General features: G+C 40.2%; 1 long non-coding RNA gene across 2 annotated transcripts in view, besides 1 other annotated feature; it reads left to right on the top strand.

Moving 5' to 3' along the window:
- The window catches only part of LOC105372190 (uncharacterized), a 312,925-nt gene that overhangs the window by 149,765 nt on the left and 150,238 nt on the right, over positions 1-12,922 (top strand). The window lies entirely within an intron of this gene.
- Positions 12,621-12,790: an enhancer, noted in NCBI's record as "experimental_50021 CRE fragment used in MPRA reporter constructs". NCBI's record gives its function as "activates a minimal promoter by MPRAs in K562 erythroleukemia cells, with activity observed for the non-introgressed 18:71196057 variant allele {active_cell/tissue: K562}" and the evidence as "EXISTENCE:reporter gene assay evidence [ECO:0000049][PMID:34662402]".

Genomic DNA, 12,922 nt, shown 5'->3' with positions numbered 1-12,922 from the left:
CAACTTGTATTTCAATTTACTTGGAAATATAAAGGATCTAGGATACCTGAAGCTACTTTGAAAGAGAAAAACAAAAGTTAGACTTAGATTATATGGTGTTAAGACTTACTTCAAAGCTACAGTAATCAAAACAGTATGTTACTGATGTAGAATAGACATGTAGATCAATGGAAGAAAATAGTCAAGAACAGACATACATATGAGGTCAATTGATTTTAACAAACATTCCAAGGCAATTAGATGGAGAAAGAAAAATCACTCAATCAATTGTTCAGTACCAAATGTGTATGCAGAGGGGAATAAATAAATCTTTATCTTTACCTTAAACCATGTATAATACCATACCTATATCTCTCTGTGATATAAATATATAATATATAAAGAACTCTTGACATTCAATAAGAAGACAAAAATTAAAATAGCCAAAAAATGTGAGCATACACATACAACATATATATATTATATATACACACATATATATCTCCAACAATAGCCAATAATCAAGTGAAAATATACTGAACATCTTAGTTGTCAGGAAAAGGCAAGTAAAAATAACAATGAAATTGAAATTGCTAAAGTTAGAAATAATTGAGAATACCAGTCATTGGCAAGGATATGGAGCAACTGGATCTCTCATGCAATGCTGGGGGAATGTAAAATGGTACAATGACTGCTAAGGGATGCAGTTTGACACTTTTTCATAAGCCTAAACTTACATACAATTCTGCAGTTTCTTTCCTACATATTTACCCGAGAGAAATGAAAAATTATTTCACACACACTTACTTCTGCAGAAATGTTTAGAGCAGCTCTATTGGTAATAGCTCTACCTTGGGAAAACGTCAAAAGTTCTTTAACAGTGAATGTATAAACAAATTAATGTCTGTCTGGCCAGGAATATTACTTGGTTATAAAATAGCCAAAAATATCAATTCATGCAACGTTAAGGAGCAATCTAAAATATATTCCTCTGAGGAAGCCAGATTCAGAAGAGTTTATAGCGTGTGATGCCATTTACATGAAATTCTCTAGAATTTCATGTAAATAGGGACAGAAATTAAAAGTCAGATCACTGGTTGCCTAGAGTCAGGGGTCCAGTTAGATTGACCTTAAAGGGGCACTGGGAAACCTTTTGCGGTGATGAACATGTTCCATAGCTGATTGTGATGCTGGCGGGAAGGGCTTTTAGTCAAACCGTTTGATCTGCTCTCTTCATTGGTGTCCATTTTAGTCTATGTAAATTATGTCTCAAAGTTAATTTTCAAAAGTTTTGGTCAAAAGTGCACTGTTGCTCTAACAGAATTGTCTCCCAGTTTGTGTCTGTGGTATTTGATGAATTAAAATGACATGCAAAAAACTGAGCAGTCAGAAGCAGGGCAGCTGTGGTCTACTTGGTTTCGCTTTGAGAGATTTGGTGAGAAGTTTAAGAGGGGCTTATGGCAAAGAACAGTGTCATTCGTGGAACGGTATGCATTAGTTTTGGAAGAATTGACTTGAACCTTCCCTTTTAAGAAAGAATTTGGTGAAGTTTGCCTCTCCTGCTCATTTGGCCTGCTCTACTAAAAAAAAAAAAAAGTAAAGAAACAAAATCAATAAAAGCCTTGCCCTGGATAAAGGTAGAGCTCACCCTCCTTGTTCCCTGGGTTGAGATTTAGACCGGTGTCAACAGCTTGCTACTAGAATTGCTTTCTTCTATCTCACTGTAACTCATGTGTTCAGCCTGCCCAGAGCAAGGAGAATGAACAGAGCATCTAAGAAAGCACAAACACAGGTTGGATTTAAAGCTGAAAGATAAAGAAATCTCACTTTATTTCTCAGGGGAAATAATCAGTAAAGACATTAGCTAAATTGAAAGAGAGAGGGACAGGCTGTGAAATTTTCATCTCAGTGAGTAGACAAATTAGTTGACCATGTAATTGTCCTATGGCAACTAGGGATTGTTGGAGAATCACTTGGAAGGTGCATCTATAGCTTTAAAATGAAACATACTAACAGGGTCGTATGTTCTTAATTAACTACCCTCAGCTTTGCGGGTACAAGCTCCGAGGAGAGAAAGGAATGAAGAAGCCAGGCTATTGGGTGATTGCGGGACAGGTAATTGGAAATAGGAATGTTTCTTAGCCACAACGAAATCATAGTTTATTCAAGGGACATACCCACACACCTATATTTTTGTTGTTTTCATTGTGATGAATGATTTCTAATTCTCCTGTAGGTCAACCAGTTTTATTTTGTGCTTCCATATTTTTTGAAGTACTATTTCCTCTACCATGGATAATATCTCTTTCTCCACCTATGACATTCCTATTCATTTTTAGAAACCTCACTGAAATATTCGCACTGCTTTAAAATATTCCCTAATTCAACTGGATGTTTTATAGATCACTCTCTCTCAGAACATTTTGTTCATGATCGGAGACTTTACAGATTTACTTATCAATTTGATTGTATGTTGCTTCTGGTACACCATGACTCATGTCCTCGTCCCATTCACTAATCTAACCACTTGGCTGCATCTCCATTTAGCCCTTTTTGTTAGGGTTCTCATAACATTCCCAGTCACTTCTCTTCATTTTGCAAGGAGGCTATACCTTGTCTACAGCGGTGTTCTCAATCAGCACACAGAGAGTCCTCCATTCAACCTTCTAGAATTCAATATTTGTCAATATCACTTAACTTTAGTTAACTGAATTAAGTCACTGTATAAATCAATGTGGTGGTATGTTAAGCAAATGTATTCCCTACCTAACTGAAACTCATATTCTGCTCATTTCCTGGGTCTTATCATGAAAAGTTTTTCATCTTCATAATATTGAATTAAACGACATGGATTTGTAACTATACCATCTCATCTCTCTCATCCTCCCACTTCACATTTAGTACAACTTTTAAAAGGTAAATTTATTGAGATATTAGAATCTCAAATCTTTCCCTTTCTCCTAGTCCATTATCCTTTGTACACACAGTTAAGGCAGAATATGAAGGCATAAAAAGTGTGAAAAGTGAGAAGAAATTTCATTATTGCAGAGAAACCTAGTGTCCAAGAAAACCACCCTGCTCAGAAGCAGGATCTGCAGAAGTGGATTCTACAATTTTCATAGTCTTAAGAGAAAAATGTTGCTGTTTCTATTTCTGCTTCTTCTTTGACTACTTTTATTAACTAGCTAGGATTTATTGAGGGCTTACTATAAGCCTGGTATTTTTCTTGGAATTGGTACACATGATCACATCTAATTCTCTACAACAATGGTTATCAAAGTGTGTTCCCTGGACAAACCGGCAGCATCAGCAACCCTGAGAACTTGTTAATAATGCAAATTTCAGGTCCCAGCCCAGTCCTACCAAATGAGAGATTTGGGATGAGGCTCAGTAACACGTTTTTCCATCACCCCAGATGATTTTGAGGCACACAATGAATGTGAGAAACACTGGAATGAAAGATCATTAAATTTCATGCTAATGGGGGATACTTTGGTTTATTCCAGATAGATGTAAATGCCAAAGAGTTTAATATTTTGTTGAAGTTTTTGATGTTTTCTCTATTATTTTCTTCAATATCTCTGGAATAGTTCTTAATCACATCATGGTATGCGCAAGCCTTGCAGACCCCAGTTAGAACAGCTTCATTGTGCTTTTAGAGCGTTTGAAACCACTTAGCCTGATTGTAATTTTATTTTCATGCAGCTGAGATACCATACATGTTCATATTGCTGACCTTGAGTTGCATAACAAGGACAGTATACATTTTATTTAAAACCTTGATATAATCTCTCAGTGTTCAATTAATGTGGTACTATTGGACTGGCAGTTTTAGGTAGCCCAAATAACTATTTGTATGTTTAATTAGGCATCGAGTTGAAATAGCGAAAACTTTTATTTAAAAAATTAACTTTAAGTCTTCTGCAAACAAGTGTTAGAATGCCCAGTTAAAATAAATTTTTGAGAAGTAGCTTATTTAACATAGGTAAATTCAATTTTTAGTAATCTCATTAAAATAATAATAATGCAATCCATGTCGTAATATAAGAAAATAAGGAAAAAATCGAAAATGTTTATATATATATATATAGATTTTCCAAGTAGATTTTTACATAGGAAAATTGGTTAATACAAACCAATACAACATTTTTACTACGGGGCATGTTAGAATTGTAAGGAAGCTTACATCTTCTGACTTTTGTCATGGCTAAACCCAAGTGACATGCTGCAAAAACATAAAGGCTTCCCAACCCCCACCCCCCCCAAAAAAAATCAAACTTTGTTAGGACTGAGAAATGTTGAAAACAAAACAACACAAAAGGTATTTTCTGAATAAAATGCCAACGCAGGTGGCAACTAGTAGAAAACAGACTGCTTGTGGTTACTGCTCCTCCTTATGATAACTGAAGTGTTACCTTTAATAAACAGGAAGCTGGGAACGAGAATAATTCTAGAATTTCAGAAAAAAATAATTACTTTGAAATTAAATGCATGAATTCACTATCATTAATGACAATGGACAATTTAATCACTGTTAAATTGATTAATCATTATTAAATAGAACCTCATAGTTATATCTGGACTATCACGGAGAAAACAGTTACACATACTGTACCTTATAAAATTATTAACAGATCGGAATTTGACACTTTAAGTACAAATAGTTAAAATATCCTCTTGAAGAAATTCATATAAGGGTAGCATATTCTCACTTATGTTTTGAAAGGTGATTTAAAGAATTAGAAAAAATGTACCACAAACTTTAGACGTCCAAATGAAGCCACTTATAACTTCACAACAACCTCTACTGTAGGATTTCCAGTGGACTTAAAAGAGGCTGTGATCAATTTGAAATCAGATTAGAGCCTTTGGCATCCACTCTCTTCTGGTATTTCTCTGGCCCTTAGGTGTTTGGACTTTGGGAAGTCCCTTCTCCTGAAGGCTTTATCCCTTTTGAGTGCAATTATTGTCTATTTCTGGGCCCAGGTGAAAACACTGTCTCATCAGGGAGTAAACTGAGACTCAAACCTGACAAGTCCATCTAGTAGTGGATGAAAATGTGGGAAAACTCAAGAAATATCCATTGTAAAAAGGCAACAATACGTGGCTGGAGGGCCCACCTTTTTAATCCCCAGACCTCAGGCACGTTCGTGAATAGGTCATTCTCTGCACAATAAGGACCGAGAAGACCTAACTTCTTACTTGGGAAGGGGGAAGGTTGCTTTTAAAACCTGCAGCCTGGGAGGAAATCTATTTAGCTAATGAGACAGCCTTCTCTTGAGGCAGGCACAATCTAAGATGCTGTAGCTTATTATAAAATTATTAATGACATGACATGTAACCATGAGGATGTGTTGCTGAGGACCAATGGCCTTGGCCTCTCTGTCACAGAGCAGGATTGATGAATCCTTGGACTTGCACACAGAGGCTATTAGGCAAGGCCTTTATAATTCTTTAGTAACTTTAATTTATTTGCTGGGATTCTCCATTTCTTCATTTGTTTCAAGATAATTCAAATTGTTCATTGGAGCATTTGAATGATGGCTGCTCTAAATTTCTTGTCAGATAATTCTAATATCTGATTCATTTTGGTGTTCATTTTCTCATTGGCAACAGTGGATTGTCTATACTATTCAGGTTGTGCTTTTCCTGGTTTGTGGTATGATATCTGCTTTTTCATCATATTCTAGACATTTTGGATGTTGGGAGACTTTGATCCCATTTAAATATATTCTAGCAGACAACTTAGACTTATTTTGCCAAACTTTTTTTTTCCTGAACTTTCTTAAGGTTTAGCTTGTAGGTCTTGTCTTACTTTTATAAGCTTTATATCCAATAACAGTTTTCAGAGTACTTGCAATAACATTCTGGTACGCTTTCAGTCTTCTGATGTCTCCGGGTCTCTGATTTCTGCAGGTGCCTTTGGGTAGGAGTAAAACAAATATTGACCCTAATTTGCTTTCTGATTCAAGGGGAGGTTCAGGGGAATGCTGGCCCTGGGCCATTTTCTGCTGCAGAGCGGAGGTCCCAGGGATATCAGGCTAGCTGGCACTGCCCAAGGGCCACCCACACCACTGAGAATAGGACGGGTGATGATGGGTAGGTAGCTGCCCAGGCTCTGCTGAAGTTGATGCTGCTGGCAGATTGAGTCACCACCACCTAGGCTGGGGAGGGCGGCTGGGGAGGGCAGCTGCTCAGGCTGTTGTGGCTGGGGAGGCCTGCTCTTCCCCACGTGTGCCCAGGCATGGATCTCCCTGCCAGGCCTCTGCTGGTCTGTCCCTTTCCCGCCACTTTGTCCAGAGAGAAGCCAGATTTTTTTTTTTTTTGACAGAGTCTCACTCTGTCACCCGGACTGGAGTGCAGTGGCACAATCTCAGCTCACCACAACCTCTGCCTCCTGGATTCAAGGATTCTCCTGCCTCAGCCTCATGAGTAGCTGGGATTACAGGCGTGCACCACTACTGCTCTGCTAATTTTTGTGTTTTTAGTAAAGACAGGGTTTCACCATGTTGGCCAGGATGGTCTCTAACTCCTGACCTCAAATGATCCACCCATCTCGGCCTCCCAAAGTGCTGGGATTATAGGCGTGAGCCACCGTGCCCGGCCCAGGTTTGTTTTTGTTTGTTTGTTTTTCCTATTCTCTTTTGGTCTGCGCCTGTTGTTAGTTTCAAAGTCCAAGACCCTGGTTCCCAGTCTGAGATATAAGGGAGATAAAGGGGAAGCTTGCCGAATTCACCTCAGTGTCACCAAGTCCAGGGATCCCCAGGTAGCCCTCCTCTTTTTCTCCATCTTTCAGAGTAATTTTATCTCTGTTGAATTATTTCCAAGGACCAAGGTGGCCTCCATGTTGCCCTTAGTTTGACCAAACCTCAGATAGGCTTCCTGCTTGTAGGCCTGAACTCCCCTTCACCAGCCCTTACGGAATGCAGTTACCCTAACCACAGAGGCCTTTTCACTCCTGTTCCTTAAAACATTTGCTTTAGAAAACTGGTTATTATCATCACCTGTTTAAGATGTAAATCTTTTAAAATGCTCCTTGGCAGTTTTGTAACCCAGAACTCTCTTTTCAAGCACCTGGGAGCCACCCCTTTGACATGTAATCAGAGAAGCTAGCGTCCCCACCTCCCAGTCTTTGGGAGAGGGTAGAAGCCTAACTTCCTTGCTGTAAGTTGTACAACTACCTCCTGCAAGAAGATAAGAGGAAATGTACTTTTCCTTTGCATAAGGCCAATTAGCAAACACAGATGGCCTCAGATACTCTCTCCAACTCCAGCTCTTCTTTCTGGGGGCTGAGTCCTGACTTTTCTCTCATTGCAGTAGCCTGGAATACAGCCTTCCTTAGCTGGTTACCTTGGTCCAGTGCAATATTTGCCTCTAGATTCATATTAGAGTTTCTTGCTGGGAAGCCCTACCCAGTTTTTTTAATATGTATTTGGGCTCTGAAAGCCCTCACTGGTTTCTCTCTCTTCCCCCTGGCAAACTTGCTTTATAAGAATGCAAGGAAGGTTTTGGAGGTGATGGGTATGTTTATCGCCTTGATTGTTCTGATGGCTTCATGGGTGTGTAACTGCCCAAGGAGTTCACCTTGCCGGCTGCCTAGATAGAACCAATTTATCAAGACGGGAATTGCAATGGAGAAAGAGTAATTCACGCAAAGTCATCTGTGCAAGAGACCAGAGTTTTATTATCACTCAAATCGGTCTCCTCAAGCATTTGGGGATCAGAGTTTTTAAAGATAATTTGGTGGGTAGGGGCTTGGGAAGTGGGAAGTGCTGGTTGTTCATGTTGGAGATGGAATCATAGGGGATCAAAGTCAGTTGTTCTTGCTGGCTTCTGTTCCTGGGTGGGATGGCAGAACTGGTTGGGCCAGATTACAGGTCCAGGTGGTGTCAGCTGATCCACCAAGGACAGGTTCTGCAAAATATCTCAAGACTTTTTTTTTTTTTTTTTTTTTTTGAGACAGAGTTTTGCTCTTGTCGCCCAGGCTGGAGTGCAATGTCACAATCTCAGCTCATTGCAACCTCCGCCTCCCAGGTTCAAGCAATTCTCCTGCCTCAGCCTCCGGAGTAGCTAGGATTACAGGCATGCACCACCACGCCTGGCTAATTTTTTGTATTATTAGTAGAGACGGGGTTTCACCATGTTCGCCAGGCCTGATCTTAGGTTTTGCAGTAGTGATGTTATCCCCAGGAGCAATCTGGGGAGGCTTAGATGCTTGGAGCCAGAGGCCGCACAACCCCTAAACTGTAATTTCTAATCTTGTAGTGAATGTGTTAGTCCTGCAAAGGCAGACTAGTCCCCAGGCAACAAGGGGGTCTTTTTGGAAAACGGCTGTTATCAGTTTTGTTTCAGAGTCAAACCGTGAACTGAATTCCTTCCCAAAGTTAGTCGACCTATGCCCGGGAATGAACAAGGACAGCTTAAAAGTTAGAAGCAAGATGGAGCCAGTTAGGTCTGACTTCTTTCACTGTCATAGTTTCCTCAGTTATAATTTGGCAAAGGCGGTTTCAGGCGTGTGCATATGTTCAAACTCATCAAACTGTACACTTTAAATTTGCACAGTTCTTTCTATGTCAATTACACCTCAATAAAGCTGTTTAAAAAACGTACAGGGGCCCAGCTTTGAATATGCCTTTCCTTCTTCCTCTCTTTCCCTCCCTCCCTCTCTACCTTCCTCCCTCTTCCCTTCTCCTCTGCTTCTCTTCTCTTTTTCTTCAGTCTTTCTTTCTTTTCTTCATTCCTTTCTTTTTCAAAAACTCTTTGGGAGTTTTCTCAACCAAAACTTAGATGAAAATGTAAGAGGACATTTGATTCCCTCTAGGTACATCTGCATTTGAAGAAGGAATCACTTCTTTCCTCTCCCAAATGACTCTTATAAAACTCTTTCAGCCATTGGAAGATTTGGTAAGTCTGAGATATGAGACCAAAGTGATTTTATCTGTTTTTATTTAGGGTAGTAATATAAAGTCAAAGGTTGTTACTGCCTATATGTTTAACAAAGATTTCCCTTGGCGAGAATTGATCATTACATATTTAGATCAACATTTTTTTCAATAACATATTATTAAGGATAGTGTTAAAATTGCCCTTCAGAATACCTTAAATTGCCACAAGAGAACAATACGGGTGCCGTGTCTTTATGTCCAAGTCAGGACATCTTTTTCCCAAATCATTTGAACAGATCACTATTACTAAACTTGAACACAAACTAAATTATTTGTGCTATATTTGGGAGGCAGGTTGTCAAGAAAGCATATTGTATTTTTGAACACTATAATCACACCCTCAACAGGTTAAAAAAATAAATCTCATATTTTGTGAGGCTAAATGAAAAAGCACAGACTTGAGTCTCCCATCTGTTAACGTAAATTAAAATGGGGACCAGGCCTGCAGAAGCCCCAAGCAGACAAAGCCTGTTAGGCCTCGTGACACCAACTTTGCTTGATTTGCAAACATAAGTGAAATGAGCTATTTCTTGTAATTGCCTATTTTGAAAAACAGAACATAGGCTCAACCAACCAAAAGGAGCCAACAAACTTACAATTATGTAACTAGAGACTTTCCGGTGGAATAGAACAAATAAGGCAACTTTGTAACCAATCACATATCTTCTTTGCGTGGCTTCTTCCTTCATCCTATAAAAGAATGACCCTCATGCTCCTTCCATGAGGGCTCCAAACCACTCTTGGCATAGAGCTCCTACTTCTGGAATCATTATTTGCTCAAATAAACTATTAAGAATTTTATTGTGCCTCAGTTTTGTTTAGCTTGCCTTTTAATACATTTCATCGTCAATAAGAAGTGTATGCTTATACTGCATATCAAAATCATCTCTCTCTCTCTCTGTCTTGCCATGCATGTGTACAGTTAGGTTTTGGGGGCCAATAAATAACAACCTGCTTTGCTTTCTAGGGTCATGATCTCCTGAGTGATAAAGGCAGAAATTACATGTTTTGGTATCACAATATCTGCTTTATTACCAATAAAGCTGATCAGAAAATATGGCCTTGGATTTGCAGCTGACTTCACTGACTAATAAGCCTTCCCCTTTGATAGAGACAGATGAATGCACCATCCCCAGGCAGTGTTGAAAAACCACACACCATAGAGGCCTCCCAAAAGGACAGACCCGGCCCTTCGGAAGCTTGCTGCGTAGGGCAAAAAGTGCAGAATGGGAAAAAGTGGGCTTTTCCTTTATCCCAAACCAGAGATATGAGAACACAGAGAGTCTGGGAAGGTTCCTCCACATGAGAGGCCAGGAATATTCTTTCTTTTTGTTTTCTTTCTTTCTTTTTTTTTTTTTCTTGGTAGACACAGGGTCTCACTGTGTGGCCCAGGCTGGTCTTGAACACCTGGTCTCAAGCAATTCTCTTCCCTGGCCAAGTATCTTTCTCAATGAGAGTTCCGAGCTTCCTATATTCCCTTCTCTTCAATACTCTTCTGTGGTGTGTGCCCAGCTGGTAGGGTTGAGCCCATGTTGCTTCAGGGTCACAATCTGGTCCCAACCTTGCTGCCTGGCATTCTCCCTCTCTGAGGGGTCTCACTGGGCTCTGTGCCAGTGAATCTGCTTCCTACCTTCCCTCTACTTGGCTTTCTCCCTTCCATTTTCATCTACTGAAAAAATCCTGATCATAATTTTTAAAGTATCTATCCCATAGTGTTGTGATGGAAATTGCATAAATTATATTGAATAAACTAATGATCATGGGTTAGACGAGGCTTTTGGTGATTATTATTGGTATTTTTCAGGGTGCTATTCAGGCACGATGCTGTCCAAAAAACACATTCCCTTTCTCAGCAAGTGGAATGGATTCTCCTCCTCCTTCATCCTCTCCCAGCACCTTGACCTTGTGTCTACCACGGAAAGGTCTTCATTGACTGCCTCTCCCTGGTCCCTACCATTTCCCCTGTTGCAAGGTCATACTTTACTCCCACCTCCACCCTCATAACTGAGCCCAGAGTTGACAAATAATCGCACTTAGTGTTTGGGGAATGAATTTGCTCCTCATTGGTTGAGCTCACAAAGCCTCCATCAGATTCCCCTTCTCGGCTTACCTTAGCTCCCCGCGTTCCTCTCTGTCCTCCTTCTTTCCTGATATGGTTTGGCTGTGCACCCACCCAAATCTTAACTTAAATTGTATCTTCCAGAATTCCCACGTGTTGTGGTAGGGACCCAGTGGGCCGTAACTGAATCATGGGGGCTGGTCTTTCCTGTGCTATTCTCGTAATAGTGACTAAGTCTCACGAGATCTGATGGGTTTATTAGGGGTTTCTGCTTTTGCTTCTTCCTCATTCTCTTCTGCTGCCACCATGTAAAAAGTGCCTTTCACCCTCCACCATGATTGTGAGACCTCCCCAGCCATATGGAACTGTAAGTCAAATTAAACCTCCTTTTCTTCCCAGTCTCTGGTATGTGTTTATCAGCAGCGTGAAAACGGACTAATACATTACCTTTCTTATTCTTTTTGTCCATTCTTCTCCACCATCCTAATTCGGATGTGGATGCTTCTGTAACCATGGTGAAGGTGATGGCAGAAAGAAAGAGGCATTGATGTGGAAAATCCTCTATCCTCTTCTTCCAGCCACAGCTCTGAAATGGAGGAAGTTTGGAAGCATGTTGGTCACTGGCTGCTGAGGCCTGGACCTCCACTTTCACTGTTGATCTCTTCTTTTGGTAACAACCAGTCTTTTGCAAAATCAAATGAGAGGAGGCTGAAAAAGAGCTGAGCATTGCTGGTTCCGTAAGTGAGAACTTTTTATATTGAAATAATAATTCTAGTTTTAAAAGACAGAGAGAGCAGGAAGATTAAGACATATTAACATGGTGATAGAAAGCCAATAAATCGTGCTAATGCTTTCCAGTACAGCAGTGAGATGGTTTTAGCCATTTTAATGACCAGCTTATAATTAAGAAAAAGAGGGTATTTCAGAACTAAAAGATAGAACATGTAATTATTTGAAAGAGTTATGGCCTTTGTCTAGGTAGAGTGGTATAACAGGACTTCCCCTGAGAAATTATGACCAGCACCGGTCTTGGTTAACCAGGGCAGAACCTGTTAATATGCTTGGGAGTATCACTAACCCGCTTTAAGTAGATAAATACCTGCAGTGTCTGGTAGCAGACCTCATGGTGTGTGCAAAGTGGTTCCTGGAGCTGCTCTGAAAAATGACAGCTCAATTTTATACCATCCTCCATTGCACAGCCCTGGCCTTCCAAAATGAAGAACAGCAGGCCTTTCCACAAGAATTCCTCTGCTGTCAGTAAGAATTCAAAACACTGTGCACCAGGAATCGGACTTGGAATGGTGGTTGTTGTACTTCTTCTTTTTTACCTCAATGGTGGAATATCTTCTATAGACCCGAGGGATCAGGAAGACCATGAGTGGAGTGAGGAAAATCCAAAGGAGACACAGACTTTGGGACTTAGATAAGGAGCCCATTTCTGTGTGCATAATAAGAGAGGGATTTTGTGAATCATAAACTTAGATTTGTCAAGTATGTAACTTTATTTATTTATAAAGAAAATTTACTTTGCTTTTGAATCTTAATTTCTGTATGTTAAGTGGAAAATCTAATTTTGCTAAACCATCCTAAATTACTTCTTGTGAAAAAGTCAGTTTCTAGAGAAAAAAATAATAGGATGATTCAGGATTCGCCTGTGTCTCCCTTCTTGCCTAACTGCCCCAGGTAGTGAGCTGAGTGTTGGGGGCAGGGGTGACTGGGGTGCCTCCGTGTCACCCTGTGCCTGAGCGAGTGGCGTGGAGAGCCACCGTGTCACCCTCTCCATACGTGGCCCTCGTTAGATGGTTAGATGAGCTTCCTTTCCTCTGGTCCTTCTCATTGTTCACTGATATCTGCTGGTCCTGTCAAAGCCTCCAGCTGCAGGACTCCCCACTCCCATCCCCGCTCCTTTTTCAGCCCAGGTATTTTTGGTTCTGCTGCT

The sequence above is a fragment of the Homo sapiens genome, chromosome 18, assembly GCF_000001405.40.
Source record: "Homo sapiens chromosome 18, GRCh38.p14 Primary Assembly".
Lineage (NCBI taxonomy): Eukaryota > Metazoa > Chordata > Mammalia > Primates > Hominidae > Homo > Homo sapiens.
Note: the sequence above shows the minus strand (reverse complement) of the source record. Positions and strands in the feature narration are given on the sequence as shown.